The following is a 19,841-nucleotide window of genomic DNA, read 5'->3' on the forward strand; positions in this document are numbered from 1 at the left end:
GACCAGTACACAGTAAGGTACTTCAGGAGTGGAACTTTTTATTTTCTATCTACATTCACTTTTTAAATAAGCTCATCACTTGCATGACTTTACAAACCATCATGACCCCGATTTTCTCTCTCCAGTACAGATCTCTCTCCTGAAATCTTGACTTGTATATGCAACTGCCTCTTTGACATTTTCAGTTGGCTAATAGGCATCTTAAATCAAATATGTCCAATACTCAGGTCTGATATTCCCTCCACCTCCATATTCTCTATCTCCAACTTCATCATTCACGTTTCTCAGTCCAAAAGCTTGAAATCATCCTTAACTCTGTATCAACCCTACATCTAACCCTTCAGCAAATCAAAATGATTCTACCTTCAAAACATAACCCAAATCCAACTACTTCTTATCAACATCACAGCTGGTCAAAGCTACAATAGTGTCTCAACTGGATTACTACAACAGTCTACCAACTATTTTTTCCCTGTTTTCATTCATACCCTCCACAGTCTATTCACTACTCAGCAACCAGAATGAGCCTGTTAAAATGATCACTCATACAACACATTCCTCAAAACCCTCTAATGGTGTTCCACCTCACACAGACTGAAAGCAGAAGTCCTTTCCATGGATTACAGAGCCCTACATGATCTTTCTTTACCTTCTGATTTCTCTCCTAATCACCTCTCCTTCACTCACTCTGCCCCAATACATTGTCCTTTGCTTTTCCTACAGTTCCCAGGTGTGCTCCTGCCTCAGCGTTTTTATACTGGTTATCCCTTCTGTCTGAAATACTTTCTACCCACAGGACTTCTCTCCTTCAGAAATTTATTCAAATGTCATCTTCTCAGTGACAGCATCCATTCCTCAATTGATATATTATATACTTATTTACTTACTTGACTGACAGTCGCCCTTCATTGAAAAATAAGCTCCACGAAGGTAGAAACTTCTGTTTTGCATACATCTCCAGCACAATAGTGCCTGGCTAATTGATTGGATGGAAGGATGGATGGAATGAATAATCTTTTTTGAGTGAATATTATAACTCTTCATTTAACAAGGCATCTTTGCAGCATTTGAAACAGTTGCTATTACTTTCTTCTTCAAACAGTTGTTCCCAATGCTCTCTAAGAATACTCTCCGCAGTTCTGCTTCTATCTCTAACCACTCTTCCTCTGCCTAATATGAAGGTTCTTTCCCTACTTATCCAATCCTGAAATGTTCAATCTGCAGACAGATTTTTCCTCTCTTTATACTTGCATTCCTTAAGTTGTTACATCCATCCCCATGAATTCAACTAACACCCACACATTAACGGGTTCCAAGTATTTATCTTTAATATCAAAATACCTCTAGAACCAGGTCCATATTTTCAAGTCTGCTAGATAAAACCACCAGAAAAACCTCAAATTCAAAAGGGTTCTAGTATATGGAATTATTTAGCCCCCACCACAAATGTGATCCTTCTCCCACTTTATCATATTAATTAACAGCAACTATACTCACGTGTCCAAGGTAGGATTTATGGACATTTTTGATTTCTCACTTTCTCTCATATCTCCCTTAACCCACCTCATATTTCATCAGTTAGTAACATGTATCATCCTTCTTCTGAAACATTTCTCATATTTGTTTAATTCTTATTTCACTGGCCTACTTCAGGTCATTACTGCTTTGACCAGAGCTAGTCATCATGCTACACTGCTTAAAAAAAAAACAAAACACATATTAAAATAGTTATTTATTGAAATATCTGATGCTCCTCAGACATTAATATTGTAACTTCCTCAGGAGCTGAAATCAGATTGTATCCATTTCTGTATCACTACCTTTCTATATGCATATAATTTGCCAAAAAATGAATGCTCAATTAGTGTTTGTTGAACTAAATAAAAATACTAAATGTAAGATCCAAGTTTCTTAGAAAAAAACTATGGCTCAGATTACATTATCAATGGATAAGTGGCAGTATATCCTTTCTAAATCACCAAGAGAACTTACCAATTTAACCACTGTTATGATGCAGTCTTAACTGAGACCAAGAGCCAAGACACGTTACTAGAAGCCTGGATGTATTTGTTACTAAACTGTAAGAAAGCATACTATTCTCAAAGTATAGCAGATTCAGAATGAGAGGGTTTTCTTTAAGACATCCTTAACTAAAAGCTAGAAAGTATTTCATGACTACAGAAACATGTTTTTAGAGTATGAACATCACATGATGAGCACCATCTGGGGAATGAAAGTCATTCCAGCCACTTTTATAGCTTGTTCAGAAAAAAGAAAGGTATTGTGAATTCTATCTGATTGAATTTTCAGTGACTAATAATTTTTCCTTAAAAATAGTCTAATTAAGTAATTACACTAAAATTTAAATGGATTTCTAATTTGAATGCAACTATACATTAATTTCTATGATAATCTAGGAGAAAAAATAATTATCATTTATCAAGGAAAAGTTAATGTGTATATATACATACCTTCTTAATTTACCATTATAATACATACTTCTATTTCTTAAGTAAACATTTTTTTCCAAATTCAACAATATTTTATTAATTTTTACCTCTTCTAATTCAAAACTATTTGAGCACATATATTTCACCCACCTATAAATATTAGCTTAAAATAATGCTTTGAGGTAAATGTAGAAACTTACAATAACAAACAGACCACATAGACTTCCCAGAACAGATGATAAAGAATTATATCAATAAATACTCTTCCACTCTTTTTTTTTTTTGACTCTTCCACTCTTAAGAAAAGCTATTTAAGATGCTAATCTGGTTGTATACATCATTGTGTAATGATCTTACAAAAAGAAAGTACTTCATTAAGATCAGACAAATGAACTTAAGCCCTCCCACTTGACAGTTTACTGAGTTACAACTGTCCATTAACTAGCTCTTCACATAATTAAGGTGAGAAGACAGCCATACTTTCTCCTCTTATCTAATACCAATCCCTTTTTCCTTTTTAAAACACTCTACATTCAAATTTGAAATCATTTCTGTTCCAATATAAACGCAATCATTTTTCTACGTTCCCCTTAATTATGGTTAAAATAAAGACCAAAAAATGAAGCAACACTAGCTACTTTATTAAGAAAATTCAACTCTTTAAAGATATTCTATAACTTTATAATAAATTTGTATGACTAGTTTTGAAATTACAGACCAAAAAATACATCAAAGTGGTTTCTTGGTAAAGATAAAGACCTTTGTTCATAACTGACTTTATTAGACACTGAATATCTTCTCTCAGTTTTTTTCACAAAAAACATTACATTGCTTCATTTTATCAGAACTTCTCATGAGTTTCTTCCTCCCTGAGGATGTGCCCTTGTTCCCAAGGCACTGCACATTGGGCTGAGGGGCATTAAAGTTCATCTGGAGTCACGACCTTTGATCTTAAACACTAGGTACTCTACTTCGATGACCAATGGCCAATTTAGCTTAGGTGTTGATTAAATCAAAGATAAGTTCCGGTTCTCTTTTTCCCCAGCACCTGGAATAAACCTTGAAGTGAACTATATTGTCAGAAGATGGTAATTTCCTGACTCCTTGAGCCTATGAATTAATCTCCCCATTTCCACATGGTTCTTAATATCCACCCTCCTCCTCTTTCTGCTGCTGTTCCTCCTCCTCCTTCTCCTCCTACTCTTCCTCTCTCTCTCATACATACACACATACACACACACACACACACACACACACACACACACCTTTCTTCTCTTTCATCATTGGTTATTTCACTGCTTCCATCCTCTGCTGTCTCTTCCCTCCTTTGTCTCTTTATTGACCATTATTTTCCCCTTGCTTCTTTTTGCTTCTCTTATAGATTCCGTCTCTAACTACACCTCTCTTCTCATTATCTATTAGGAACAGCTGTATATTAATTTTATCTTATTATTATTATTGACATAACCAGTCAATGAAAATACTGTTTCTTTGGGTTCTTTGGCTAACTGCTCTGAAAAAAAAAAAATACCACTTAAGTAATTAGAATCCAATGTTCCACTCTTCTAAGGTCTTCTCATTATTAATAGATACACAGAGGGTGTTGTGTATCCCAAAGACCCTGGGTAGATTTGAAGATAAGGGAGAGAGAAATACCATTCCATATGCTTAACGTTGTCAAATCCTGGCCTCCAGAAACTGAAGGTTCTATACAGAAAGCCATACAGCTTAGTGGTCACATTCTATTTCTTAGAAATCCACACCTTGAGCCAAACCATGTAAGAAAAACAAAAACCATCTTTCATATGGAGGAATTAATTTTGGTGAGCCAATAAGTCTCTGCCAAGGGTCAACACTTTAAACATATAGTTATAAGACATTTTAGAGTGTGACTGGCCTTTTGGAAAACACCACTGTTAACTATACAATGAGGAAATTATGCCACACATATTTTAAAAGAAAACCATGCCCCACGTATTATAAACCACTTATGACAAAAAATGAGACCTTCATTAGTTTAAATGAAAGCTCTATAGCAATTTCCATAGTTTTATATAAAATACTTGCTTTTCAAGTTAATAACCTTCACCCAGTTTCCTCAATGGTTAACATTTTTTTAGCACATTTCCCCCTCCCTCCTACTCCCCCTGCCTATTTTATCAGTTATCTTTATCTGAACAATTTGAGAGTAAGCTGCAGATATGATGCCCCTATACCCCTAAACACTCCAGTTGGTATTTCCTGAAAACAAGAACTGTGGCCAGTATAATCACCACATAAGCCTCCAAATGAGGAAATCCACTTAATATAACACTATTATCCAATCCACAGACCCTACTCAAGTTTTACCAACAGTGCCAATATTGTCACTTGCTTCTAATGGTCCAGGATTTAATTCAGGAACATATGATGCATTTAGCTATCCAATCTCTTCAGTCTCCTTTAGCCTGGAACATTTCTATGTTTTTCCCTGTCTTTCATGTCTGAACAGTTTTAAAGAATAGAGGCCTATGTTCTATACAATGACCCTCAACCTAGAAATCTACAATATTTCCTCATGGCCAAACATACATCATGAACTCTCAGCAAAAATTCCCCAGAAATGGGGAATTTGGGAGGCATACAATGTCAATTTGTCCCACCTGGTCAAGTTGAAGTTTACTGTAAAAATACCACTTTCTTGTTTTGTAGTCAACTGAGTCTTTTGGAGGGAGATATTCAGAGATTATGTCAATACCCTGTGTCTCATAGAGGCTCCACCTGCCAGCTTTAACATCCTTTGATGACTCCTGTCTAAATTAACTGCCACTCTGATGGTTGCCAAATGGTGTTTTTTCTATTTATGTAATTCCTTCTAGATTCACAAGTAGGCATTTTACACTTTAAAAGAGAACTCCCATCTCCATATTTTTTGTTCATTTCTATCAGTATGGACTCATGGATTCCTATTTTATGTAACAGGTTAAAACCAATTACCATCATCATTTATTTTTATGCTCAAATTGTCCCAGATTTCAGCCACTTCAACCTGGGAACTCCATCATTTTGACATATCGACATCATTTGTTGAATATTTCCTTACTCTCTGGCACAAAAAGATGGTCCAGGCTCATCTTCTGCATTCCCTGACCTAATCCTTTTAGAGAGCATGGTATTTAGAAACCAATGTCCAGGTACTTGGTATGATCACTGCTACTAGAACATCATAGTTTTTTTTTGCCGGGGGGGGGGGGGGGGGGGTAAGGTCACAGATCAACAGGATAAGAATTTTTCTTAGTACAGAACAAAATGAAAAGTCTCCCATGTCTACCTCTTTCTACACAGACACGGCAACCATCCGATTTCTCAATCTTTTCCCCACCTTTCCCCCCTTCTGTTCCACAAAACCGCCATTGTCATCATGGCCCGTTCTCAATGAGCTGTTGGGTACACCTCCCAGACGGGGTGGTGGCCAGGCAGAGGGGCTCCTCACTTCCCAGTAGGGGCGGCTGGGCAGAGGGCTCCTCACTTCCCAGTAGGGGCGGCCGGGCAGAGGCGCCCCTCACCTCCCGGACGGGGCGGCTGGCCGGGCTGGGGGCTGACCCCCCCACCTCCCTCCTGGACGGGGCGACTGGCTGGGCAGAGGAGCTCCTCACTTCCCAGTAGGGGCGGCCGGGCAGAGGTGCCCCTCACCTCCCGGACGGGGCGGCTGGCCGGGCGGGGGGCTGACCCCCCCACCTCCCTCCCGGACGGGGCGGCTGGCCTGGCGGGGGCTGACCCCCACCTCCCTCCCGGACGGGGTGGCTGCTGGGCGGAGACGCTCCTCACTTCCCAGACAGGGTGACTGCCGGGACGGAGGGGCTCCTCACTTCTCAGATGGGGCGGCTTCCGGGCGGAGGGGCTCCTCACTTCTCAGACGGGCGGTTGCCAGGCGGAGGGTCTCCTCACTTCTCAGACGGGGCGGCCGGGCAGAGACGCTCCTCACCTCCCAGACGGGGTCGCGGCCGGGTGGAGGTGCTCCTCACATCCCAGACGGGGCGGCAGGGCAGAGGCTCTCCCCACATCTCAGACGATGGGCGGCCGGGCAGAGACGCTCCTCACTTCCTAGATGGGATGGCGACCGGGAAGAGGCGCTCGTCACTTCCTAGATGGGATGGCGGCCGGGCAGAGACGCTCCTCACTTTCCAGACTGGGCAGCCAGGCAGAGGGGCTCCTCACGTCCCAGACGACGGGCGGCCAGGCAGAGACGCTCCTCACTTCCCAGACGGGGTGGCGGCCAGGCAGAGGCTGCAATCTCGGCACTTTGGGAGGCCAAGGCAGGCAGCTGGGAGGTGGAGGTTGTAGCGAGCCGAGATCACACCACTGCACTCCAGCCTGGGCACCATTGAGCACTGAGTGAACCAGACTCCGTCTGCAATCCCAGCACCCCGGGAGGCCAAGGCTGGCGGATCACTCGCGGTTAGGAGCTGGAGACCAGCCCGGCCAACACAGCGAAACCCCGTCTCCACCAAAAAAATACGAAAACCAGTCAGGCGTGGCGTCGCGCGCCTGCAATCGCAGGCACTCGGCAGGCTGAGGCAGGAGAATCAGGCAGGGAGGTTGCAGTGAGCCGAGATGGCAGCAGTACAGTCCAGCTTCGGCTGGGCATCAGAGGGAGACCGTGGAAAGAGAGGGAGAGGGAGACCGTGGGGAGAGGGAGAGGGAGAGGGAGAGCAATCCTATTTTTTTAACTAAATATGAGAACATCATAGTTTTTAGGCTGCCTTAGGAGACAGCTAGAAAATATGTGTATGTATACATATACACATACTATCTCTATCTATTTGTTCATATATATTGTTTAAAAAAAGTCATGATTCATAATAACACCAATTCCAATCCAATACCTTAGAGTTTTTTCTTGCCTTCCCCCTTTCCATGGTTATAAATCCCTCATCCAACAGTGAGAAGCATAACTCTTATTATCCTTAATATATTCATTCATTTGCTCAATCTATTTACTTATTTGCTCAACATAACCAATCTCCCAATCACACCAGCCCCTGTGTGTTTGCTGCCCTATTTATCACAGCTGTCTTCTTGTTGGAATGCTGATACCTCCATGCCTGGTAAAGAATGGAGGGGAAGGGAAAGGAAAGAAATAAGGATGGGGAGAGAAAAATAGGAAAGGTGGGGAAAGGAGTGAGGGGAAGATGGGAAAAGGCAAGGGAAGGGAAAATGGGAAAAGAAAGGAAAGAAAGGGAAGCAGACACTCACCTTTAAAACACCTTCCACAGCCATCTTCCCTTCATGACCTAGTAAAATACTATATGGATAAAGCCACTGGATTGCATGTTTGATTGGCATCATAGGAAAGGAATCCTATGTAGGAGCAAAAATACATAGGAATGAGCAAAATTCAAAATAATCACAGAAAACATCTGAAATGTACATATGACATTAAAATTGACTTATAAAAGTAACCAATAGGTGTCTGGTATTTTCTGTAAGTCTACAAAAGCAAATATTCATTATTTTCTCTTCTCATTCCTTGCCCTTTCTCTGGGTAAGCTTACCCATTCCCATCTTTCATTTATCTTCTATGTATTGATGGCTCCCACACTTCTATGTCTGGTCTTGACTTCTTTCTTGAGCTCTAAACCTGAACCCTCAATTGTTCATTACATGTGACTATATGAATATCCCATAGACCCCCATTTGAAACAGAATACATGTCTCTACCTTATTCATCCCAAAGTACCTGATCCCTTTTTATTCCTAAGTTAATCTCATCCACATTCACTTAGCTTCACAGTTATAACTACAAAATTAGAAAGTATTCATTATCCTCAAATCCTTCCTCACATTATCTGCACTGTCAATTCTGTTCACCCCACTTTAAAAGTCTGTTGACAAGAAAGATTAGTGAAATTTCAATATGAACTATCTATTAGATGATACTATGGATTACTGTTAACATGATATGAAGTGTGATAATGTTGTTCTGGTTATGTAGAAGAATGTCCTAATTCTTAGAAGTTGCATACTGATATGGTTTGGCTGTGTCCCCACCCAAATCTCATCTTGAATTGTAGCTCCCACAATCCCCACGTGTCATGGGAGGGACCCAGTGGGAGACAACTGAATCATGGAGGCAGTTAACCTCCATGCTGTTCTCATGATAGTGAGTTCTCATGAGATCTGATGGCTTTATAAAGGGCTTTTCCCCTCCTTCACTCTGCACTTTTCTCTCCTGCCACCATGTGAAGGACGTGTTTGCTTCCTCTTCCACCACGATTGTAAGTTTCCTGAGGCCTCCATAGCCTTGCAGAACTGTGAGTCAATTAAACCTCTTTTCTTTATAAATTACCCAGTCTCAGGTATTTCTTCATAGCAGCGGGAGAACGAACTGATACACACACTGAAGTATTTAAGAGTACTGACTGCAATTTACTTCCAAATGGTTCAGGAAAAAAAAAAAGAAAAAAGCACATGCAAACAAATGTGGCAATATATTAATAATGGGTGATTGTAGGTGAGGGGATTATGAATGTTTTACTGTTTTTCAACTTTTTTTTACATTTGAGAATTTTCAAAGTAAAATGTTCTAAGCAAAAACAAAAGATTTCATAAGAATTTTCAAAATAAAATGTTCTAAGCAAAAACAAAAAGATTTGATAAAAGTATAAGATTTGATAAACAGGAGGAGAAATTCTGTTCTGGATGTATAGAACAATGTCAACAATACCTAGGCTCCCTGACTCACATGAAACATACATATATACATACATACATACATACATACATACATACATACATACATACAAGTTTAAAAATAAGTCTCTTGCCTAAGATAGTATTCCCACTATCTTGGATGGTGCCCTCCTCCACAGGGTCTCACTGAGTGTTACAAAAGCTTCCTAGTCATTCCCTCACTTCCAACAAAGGTGTCTTCCTCCAACATAAGTCTGGTCACATTCATAGCCCACCAACTTAATATTGTCTGATAAGCCACTTTTTCCATATCATAAAATCCAGGAAACTTCATTCATCATGCAAAACATTTCACAATAGCGGTCTGACTTCTCCCTCTACCACACACACTTGCTTTAGGGATACAACTTATTCTCATTCTCCAAAGATACTAGGCCCTTTTGTGATTAAACACATTTGCCTGTGCTTTGACTTCCTGGGCCTTTTATCACTCCAGACATGACCGCCATGCCCTTTGTGAAACTGTAGTGGACAATGTCTGTACTCTATCAGATCCCCTCAGATCTGTTTGCATTCTCTCTTGTGCCTCCTAGCTTTCTCTTCCAACAGCAATTGCTGTAGGTCTTTCTAAGAAGACGATCCTTGGGCTCTTGAAGCCACCCTTGCACACATGCTGGGAGAGCAGTTAGTGTCTGGGAATTTGTGTCCCCTGAGACAACCATGACACAGAGACTGATGGAAGCTAGAACAGTGTGAAAGCCCTAGCTCCCCTAACTCAGGTAAGGACAGCTCTGAGGCCTAACTCACACTGCAGCACACCTCTTACTTGATCAGGCTAAAGCCTTCCTTCCCTCTGTAGAACTTTACTGAGATTGCATGTCTAGCTCCTACTCCAAAGCTGAAAGCTCTTTAGGGGCTCAGAACATGTCCTTGGTCTCTGTACAGTTTACTGCACTGCACAACAAATTAATCTCAGGCCTTACAATATTTATAGAAGAGTATGACAAAAGCAAACTGAAGTCATTAATCCCTAATGATTAACTTTCAAAATTTTTAACATATTTGGGTATGCCAGTCATTAATTTATTTTACTTACCAAGATTTGAACCGCAGCTGCTAAACTATCTAAAGGAAAGTCTGGAAGTCCAAGAGTAGAAGATTCTTGGGAACACAGAGTTGTGGCAAAGGACAAGAGCTGAGAAACTCTAAGGGAAAAATGATATTAAATTTTAATAGTTTTAAAATATAAAATGTGTAAGTTGTTAAATATAAAATACAGGGGCCAATTTAATTAATCTAAAAAAGATCCCTAATATTAATTCTTAAGGAACAATGGTTCCGCATCATAATATCCTACTTAAAACTCAGAAGCTGATTAGATGCAAATATATTCCTAAATTCATCACAATATTTGAGGTTTTTCACCACCTGGTCCAAATCTACCCTGCCAGCCTCATCTCTCACATTTCGTAATCCCAAACCTAAACTCTAGCCTCCAAGAGTTTTTTATGGCCCTAAAAACAAGGCATAAACTCTCACATTCCATGCTTTTAAAACAAACAAACAAACAAAACAAAAAAAAAACACTTGTTGTGTTCGAATTTCTTGATTCCACTCTCTATCTGGCAAAAACTTGCTCATTATTTAGGACCCATTTCAAACACCAATGCTTTTATGAAGCCCTTATAAAGTCTCAACTAATGCCCCCAAATATTTTCAAATTATGGCACTTACTATACCATGTTAACCAAAGCTATTCACATATCTTTCAACTCTATTAGATCTTGAGTTTCCTGCCAAAGATATCTTATTAATTTTATCACCAAACATCCTAATACTGAAAAATTCTTATAAGAATTCTAGTTGTTGAATGACTGAATTAATTAATCAATCAATCAATGAACAGGCAAAACAAATTCAATATTCAGTGTCCAGACATTTATAAAAATATACTTACTTCTCAGCAGAAACATTGGCTCCAATTGAATATAACAACTTAAGTTGGTCCTAAAGTAATACAGAAACATATTAAATTAATTAACAAGAAATGTAACAGATTAAATGCAAATGTTTTGTAGATACAATCCAACCTTTTAATTAAGCAGACACTAAATATTTAACAGCAAAAAATCATTTATTGATACATTTCATTTTCTAAAAGAAAAGCCAGCCTTTTAAAAAAAATCCTTCAAATAATGCCATAATAATTTTTCTTCCTAGTTTCCAGAGCTTTTCTTTACTCTTTATTCTCATATCTTTCCATGACCTACTCAGGAAGACATTCAAAACTGCAGTAACATTTTTATAGCATTGAAGTTCTTGTTATAAATAGAAAAACTGTTTAACAAATAAATTATCCTTGGTCTTACTTACCTTGAAGGGTAAATAATAAATATCCCTGGCTTGAAATCGAGAACGAAGAGGGGGGTCTAATGGATTCCCAGAATACCTTGGCACTGGCAAGCCCAAGGCAATCACTCGGAAATTTTCACTAACTCGGACAATTTTCCAAGAATCCAACTCTTTTTTGGTATGATCCTATAAAAGTAAGAGATCCGGAAGCTATAGCATAAATGATACAAATCACAACTGTAAGAGCTGCCAAGTCCAGGGACTTAGGACTTGACTGTTGAGAAAACTGTATTGGAGAACACTCTCAAATCCATACTGTCAAGGAAGGCAGCAAAGTGAAATCAGGTTCAGGATGCCAGGGCAGGCTCACAACATGAAGACTGGGGTGTTTGAAAGGAAAAGCAGTTAACACACCAAGGAATAAAGGAGACTTGGGTCAGATCTCCAAGCCTTAGTCAGTAACACAGAGGAAAACAGTCAGGGGGTAAGGAAAATACATGACTAGAGGTTGTAACAAAGGTAGTCCCCGACGGGCAGATCACCAGCAAAGCTGTGATTGATTACCAGTGGACCTTAAATAGATAATTATGTTTATGGTTATTCCTAGCAAAGCATATTACTAGCAATAACTAACATGTTTTGGAAACTTACTATGTGGTAAGCACATTCCATGGATTTTTCTCATTTAACTTTCACCAGAATCCAATATAGACTATCTCCTTTTTATATGAATGAATGAATCAAAGTTCAAAGGAGTTATATAACTTGCCCATCGTCCTGCAACTAGCATACAGTGGAGCTTAGAGAATGGAAACAGTATGGGTTTTAGAGTCACAAATCCTGGCTCAACTGCTTGATGTACACTTTTACTAAATGTTAGCGTATGCATGGTATTATACCTTTGGAACCTTAGCCTTCTTAGTAGGAAAAATATCACCTACATTATTGTGACTGCTAGGAAAACTAAATGTGTAAATGTATGTGCAAACAAGTGGCCCAAAGGAGGCACCTGTTAAATCTCATTTCCTTCCTTCTCTGCCTAACTCTTATCAATGGCTCTTCACATTCTTCAGCAGCAGGATCTACAGTATTGACTAAATTTGTGTGAATGCACATTTGTACACTCTGAGAGAAACGTCCACGGCTTTCAGCAATTCTTCACAGCCCAAATGACAATATAGAAACTCTTAAGATGGCACTTAAGGCCTTTCCTGGCAGAAGCCCTGATTCTCTCAGTCTCAGCAACCAGTACACGCCCGTCCCCTTGACCCTCCTTCCGTGACCCTGTGCTCCAATCCATCTCCCAACTGCAGCTCTCCAAACACATGATGCTGCTTCACCAACACTACTCCATCTTCTTGGAACAACACCCTTTTCACTCGCACACCGTAAACACAAGGGTCAGTCAAAGCTCAGCACAAAAAACATCTTCATATCTTCATAAAACTCAGATCCCCTTCCCTCATCAGAACCATTTTTGTACCCTTTTACTTTATCTTATGCAAGCTTCTATCATTATTTATTTGTGCATTTGCTTCTATACATGACTGTCTCATGCTAGCTCCACACTCTTGAAAGGACTTATTACCTCTAGTGTATAACAGGACAAATGTCTGTTGACTGATTGCATGAACTAATTTTAAAAATAATAATTATTTCAATCATATTTTGGTATGAATCAAAATCAGAAATCATACACCTAATTAACACACTGAAACTATGTCATATACACTAGAAAGTGAAAATCTGGATCTAGCCCTGTCTGAGAAACCAAAAGTAGAATCTTCAGAGAGCTGACTAAATATTTCTCTTTTTCATTTACTCAAAAATGTTAAATAAAATATAAAGTTCATACAAACTGAACTTTGTATCTCTTTCCATAGTAACAGAATTCTACTATAATCACCTTTATGAAACCAATAACATTTTTGAGATATTAAATTTAGAATATCAAAGCTACCTAGAAATAAATGGGGCTTAAGTTATGGTGTTAGAATCTTTTTACCATAAAAGTTGTCTTAAGATGATAGTGCTTTGTGAAGGGATCTTATCTATATGCTGTGAGGTTCTCATGAGACAGATTCTATGAACACAGAAATAACATTTACCGATAAAAACTTATGTGTTTATACTGATATTTACTTTGGGAGAAAAATGTAGTAGACCCTTCTCACTTAATAATAAGCATTCTTTGCGTACTAAGCCTATTTTTTTTTTTTTTCCGACAGAGTCTCGCTCCCTCACCCAGGCTGGAGTGCAGTGGTGCAATCCTGGCTCACCACAATCTCAGCCTCCTGGGTTCAAGCGATTCTCCTGCCTCAGCCTCCCGAGTAGCTGGGATTACAGGCGCATGCCACCACGCCCAGCTAATTTTTGTATTTTTAGTAGAAACGAGGTTTTACCATGTTGGCCAGGCTGATCTTGAACTCCTGACCTCAGGTGATCTGCCTGCCTTAGCCTCCCAAAGTGCTAGGGTTACAGGTGTGAGCCACTGCACCCAGCCACTAAACCTCTTTTGACTCGCATATCCTGAATTCCTATCCAAAGTAATATGTTCAATAACTTTGCACAGAATTCTACTATAAAGAATATATCAAACTTTTTGTTGTGAAGTAACTCCTATACTTAAAAAAAATGATTCCATATTCTGAGTATTTTTTTTCCAAATTATTTACTAAAAATGGTTAACACTAATGTAATCTCTAGTGGCAAGTAGTTATTTTGTAATTAGAAAGCATCTAAAGAGAAAACGTTCTGCATAATAGCCTTTTAAAAAATAAAGTTAAAAGCTTTCATTTTGATAAATTAACAACATGAATCAATGAATTTAACTTTTTCTACTTGATTAAATCCTTGATTATCTCCTTCTGATTATATCAGAACAAGATGTTCCATGAATAGATCTAGAGGAAAATGACTGTACTTCACAGTAAAGCATCATCTAGAAACTCCCACAAACAGTAAAGAAACAGACTGCTTCTGGCCCTGCCGGCCATGCAGCATCAGTTCAATCAGACCCTCTGGCATTCATTATTTAGGGCCTAGTGTGTTCTGGGCTCATATTAGCACCCTGGGAGCAAGATCAAGAAGTATGAGACACAGATCTTGCTCGTGATCAATTTGCAACCAACCTGGGGTAGTAAGATTAGCACATATGTATCTCTACAGAACAGGTATGAGACTCTAGGTCCTAGAATGTACAGGCAGAGCAGTCAGTCACAGAAGGCTGGGTTAGCCACAGAGAGATCCAGCATGGTACAGCTTGAGCTGGATGAACAAGGGCTAAATGTCTTCTTGTCATTTGTGACATTACATGAACCCATCTCCCAAGCCTCTGAAGAGTCCCCACATTCCCTAGTTGTTGCCCTCTTTATATGCATGTTTCTCACAGCATTTAATCATTCCACGGTACTTATTCATTCATTCAACAAATAGTTTTTAAGCACCTACCATGTGCCAGCCATTGATCTAGGAACTTGAGATAATACCAGTTACAAAAATCCCTGCCCTTGTGAAACTTATATTCTAGTAGAGGGAAGCAGACAACAAAGGGCACTGTATTGCATTGTAAAAACTTTTGAATTTTACTCTGAGTGGAACAAGAAGCTATCAGGGTTAGAGCATAGGAATGCCCCCAAATGGATGCACTGTTAAGGCGATCACTGACTGCTGTGTTGAGACCAGTGTCAGGAAGGAAGGATGGAAGCAGGGAGTGCAGTTAGGAGGTTCCTACAGCAACCTCGGCATGTGATGCTGGTGGCTTGGGTCATCAGAACAGGATATCCTTTAAATATTTTATTCATTTCTGTCAATACCTACTGGACCTTTAGCTTCCTGAAGCTAAAAACTGGACTTTCTTCAGCTTTGTATCCCTGGTGACCAGCACTATCTAGAAGTCATTAGCCTTTTATTAAATAGTTGTTAAGAGAAAGAAAGGGGGGAAAAAAGGAGATGGGAAAAGAGGAAGAAAGAGAAGAAGAAAAAATAGGAAAAAAAATGGAAAAGAGAATAGTTATTAGACTGACCAAAAAAAAAAAAGACAGTAAAAATCTGGGAGGTGTTTTGACAAAGTCTAAAACAGAAGAGTGTTGTAAAGCTGTAAATTCATGACTCTAGCAATTTACCCAAGATAAGGGCCATCTGAACATCTGTCCTGATTCCAACAGAGCCATGTCTTACACAATAAAATGGCACTGCCCATAGCTTGACAGCAAAGACAAAGCAACAGGATTTTCTTTTCTTACTCGGAGAAGTTTGTCGTAACGCTCAGCAGACATCAGGAAGCGTCCATCTTCAAGCTGCATCTCTCTGTTTTCCAGCAAGTTGTTCAAAACAGGCAAAACATTCCTCTCTGCCTTTTCCAAACCTTCCAAAATGAGAGTTCTGCCTTCTGTGGCTGCACGAACTGCACACTATTTCCAAGAAACGTAAAAGCAAAATGAGAATACTGAAGTTGCAGAGCTTGGCCTAACATTACTTGTAATTCAAATTTAAGTTGCAGTTCTTGTTATAGGGACCAGAAATCAATAAAGCTGAGTTCCAGATCTTGTTTTGCTTTTTCTGCCTATATGATCTTAGGAAAGTGATTTTACCTCTTTGGGCCTGTTTATTCGTTTGTAAAATAAAGGGATTGAAAAAAGAGGATCGCTGAAGTTCCTTTCAGCCTTGATATTTTAGATTATATACCCAATGAAATAAAAAACTAACAGCTATCTATGAACAAGGAACATAATTAAACAAGGGCACAGATTCCACAACTGGAAAAGAAAAATGAAGACAGTTATCTGCCCTACCTATCCCACAAGCTTCTTGTAAGGATCAAAAAAGCTAGGTGAGAAGGCTTGGAGACTGTAACATTTGTAAACATAAGTCATCATCCAAATAAATTGAGGTTTTGTGTGATGATGCTGACAACATTACACACTTAGAAACAGAAAAAGAATCAGATTTTACATTGGCCAATAGCAGACTGACTTAACCAGTACTACAAGTCTTCCAATAAATTTTAAGAAAATTAGTAATGGAGAAAATTAGGAAATAAAGTAAACTGTAATACAAAAAAATTACTATAGATATGAAAAAAATATTTTCCTTTAACTATAGGTCCTTAATAACATAGAAAACTACTTTTTGTCAAAATCCTTCATGTTCTGCTAAAAAAGGAAAACCTGTCATGTTTCTTCTGCACATTCAACCACAGACAGAGGATTAATGGTGCTAAATTTATACTGTTATTCCCTCCCTTAAAACTCGCCTTCATTAGTCTCCATGGCACTGCATTGTCCTAGGAAAATTGTTTTGTCTTCTGTGCCTGTCCATTAAATGTAGATGATGGCCAGAATTACATCCTTAACACACAGCTCTTCTTACCCTACTAGGACCTCCCTGAAAATCTTATTCAATCACATAGTTCCAACTACCACCTTTATGCTAATGACCCCCCAGAATCTTGGGGTTCTGAAACTCCCCCTCATTAGTACCTCATATGGGGTCCCTCAGACCCCATGAGCACCTCAGGTCCCTTGTACAAAACTGAAAATATCCTATTTTCTCCAAACCTGCTTCTCTTCTTTATTTTCTATCTGGGGTGTGAGCACCATTGACCCAGGTCAGAGCCCTTGATGTTTCTTGAACTCATCCCTTTCTACCCCTTCCCTAGTTCAAGCTCTCCTTACCTCTCAGATCACCTCCCAATAGTCCAAGCTCCTTAATTTGGCATATTAGCCTATCACAATGCAGCATCTACCTACCTCTCCAACACCATCTCCTGATATTAGTTGCCTCACATGTGGTATTTCTGTGACAATAAACTGGTTATCTCCTTCTACACATGTACATACCATACTGCTTTACCAGAAAAATGTCTTTACTTATACTGACCCCTCACTTAAAATTTAATTTTCCCTATAGTAATTGTCCAAAAAAAGGATCTAAATGTTTGATGAGGGGAAAACATATCTCTATTTTTTTAAGACTTAATATCCAAATAAATTTCTGGAGTAGCAATGTACTGATTTTCCAAGTGTAGAAAAGAGGCATTGCTTAATCAAGCTTGCATACTATCCTCTTTTAATACACTGTTGAATTTTGCACTGTATAGTAGAGCTTAGTTTATTTCAAGTGTCTACATAATGTTGTAAAATGATAAACTTTATGAAAGCCATATTAGACTCAAGAGAATCATCCATTTTAAGATCATTTCATGAATAATCCCTCAAATATATCATTACTGCAATATTTTAATTCTCTTCTACCAGAGTAGCCATCTTGTTCTAGAAGCTTTATTTAAAAAAAAAAAAAAAAGCATGGGTAGAAGTGACTTAGTAGTTTCTAAAGAACAACAACAAAAAAAAGAATCTCATTTTTGCTAGCTGTATAAAGGACAAAGTCGTAGAAATAGATTCTGGGATATTAAAAGTCAAAATATTGGCCGGGCTCAGTGGCTCATGCCTATAATCTCAGCATTTTGGGAGGCTGAGGAGGGTGGATCACAAGGTCAGAAGTTCAAGACCAGCCTGGCCAATATTGTGAAACCCCGTCTCTACTAGAAATACAAAAATTAGCCAAGTGTGGTGGCGGGCGCCTGTAATCCTAGCTACGTGGGAGGCTGAGGCAGGAGAATGACTTGAACCCAGGAGGCAGAGGTTGCAATGAGCCAAGATCGCACCCCTACACTCCAGCCTGGGCGACAGAGCAAGAATACAAACTACTTCTTATAAAAATTCACATTTCAGTTAAGGTTTCAATTAAGCTTTTGCTCGCAAAAATATATTTACTTCAAGAAAGCACAGCTCAGAACAAAAAAGAAATTAATTGTTATCATAATCTAGGGTAATATTATTTTAAGAAATCTAAAACTTTTAGCAATCTTTCTTATACGACAGACTAAATATTGCATTTGACTTTTTAAAAACTCCATAGGGATGAAAACCCACATTCTTTGAGATAAAACTAGAAATATACAGATCAAAATGTAATGGTTCACCATCTATGGGCCACAAAAAGCAAAGTCTTGACAACATAGGACAACAACAAACACTGCAGCTCCACTTTCATTCACCTCAGGTGTACTGTGGTCTGCTATGCATTGAATCTCTTCAAAGGAATTCAGAACAAGCTATGCAGAGAGATCAAAAACAGAAGCTAAATACACAAGGTTTTTTTTCCATCTACTCTAATGGCAGTACTGTGACCACAAAGTTGAAAAAGTAGGGATAGATGGAAAAAGGATAACACAATTTAATGATCTCTTGAAAATCTGGTCAATGCTGCAACTTTTCTCCACAGTCAAATGCATGCAGGTATATGTATAGAGCAGAGACCTCAATTTAAGAATCTCTACTACTAACGAATGATAGAAATAGAAAATGATCAATTTCGCAAACACCACAGTAGTAACTGCTGCAGTCAAGAATCCAAAATGGATGGTAAAATTAGTGGCTAAGTATATTATGAGAAACAGGTATTTGTATATACTCAAATATCTCCTCACAAAATATTTTAAAATGACAAAGTGAAAAATAATACAACACTGGAGAAACCTAGCAGATACCACCTTAATTAACCAAGTGATCAAAGTCAATGTGACCAGTAATGAGCTATATCAATCTCACATACCAGACTTCTAATATGATACCCTGAGATGGGCACAACATCACTTTTATATTATTCTTGCTAAAAATGCATCATTTCAATCAAATCATAAGGAAACATCAGACAAATCTAAATTGAGCAACATTTTGCAAAATAATTGGCCATGAGGAGGAAAAAGGAGATGGCTGCTGCAGGGACTTGGTTGGGGACCGTGTGGGAGATAACAGTCTTTTTTTTTAATGATTCAAAAACTTGAGCATGTTTAAATGATGAAGAGGAGCTAGTAGAGGAATACAGAAAAGAGAACGTATAATTATTGAAATAAAACTAAAAGAGTTGCTACTAGATGTTGGAGATAGTTTGGTCTGTTTACTGAGTGGGAACATGGTAGGGCCTACAAGTTTATAACTGATACATATCAGGCGCTTCCAAGTATACTATTTAATTTAACCCTATGACAGTCCTCTGAGGTACACAATATTTTACCCAATTTACTGGAAGAGAGGTTATATAATTTGAAAATTGCATGGCTAAAATTTTAGCCTGTCCTTAAATTGAAAGAAAACGAGTAGAGTAAGAACTAAAAAAAGTCATTAAATAATCACATCTAGAGGTTACTAGTAATCTCAGAGAGTCTGGTTTTACTAGGCATAGGAATTTGCTGTGTTACCTATGCAGAGAAACGAAACCAAACACACACAAAACATCTCTACACACACAAAATACTCAGTTCAACATAGAGCATACATGGTCATACAGCAGTGCAATCTGCCT

At 38.7% G+C, this 19,841-nt stretch overlaps 1 protein-coding gene across 2 annotated transcripts in view; it reads right to left on the reverse strand.

Moving 5' to 3' along the window:
* VWA8 (von Willebrand factor A domain containing 8) overlaps nucleotides 1–19,841 on the reverse strand; it is a 394,275-nt gene that overhangs the window by 308,867 nt on the left and 65,567 nt on the right. For both annotated transcript variants that reach the window (NM_015058.2, NM_001009814.2), the window contains exons 5-9: nucleotides 15,719–15,886; nucleotides 11,496–11,660; nucleotides 11,080–11,129; nucleotides 10,219–10,327; nucleotides 7,686–7,790 (exon numbers count right to left, since the gene is read on the reverse strand). In NM_015058.2, coding sequence (NP_055873.1) covers nucleotides 7,686–7,790; nucleotides 10,219–10,327; nucleotides 11,080–11,129; nucleotides 11,496–11,660; nucleotides 15,719–15,886 — 597 coding nt within the window. The remainder of the gene's footprint in view (nucleotides 1–7,685; nucleotides 7,791–10,218; nucleotides 10,328–11,079; nucleotides 11,130–11,495; nucleotides 11,661–15,718; nucleotides 15,887–19,841) is intronic.

Source organism: Homo sapiens, chromosome 13 (genome assembly GCF_000001405.40).
Source record: "Homo sapiens chromosome 13, GRCh38.p14 Primary Assembly".
Classification (NCBI taxonomy): domain Eukaryota; kingdom Metazoa; phylum Chordata; class Mammalia; order Primates; family Hominidae; genus Homo; species Homo sapiens.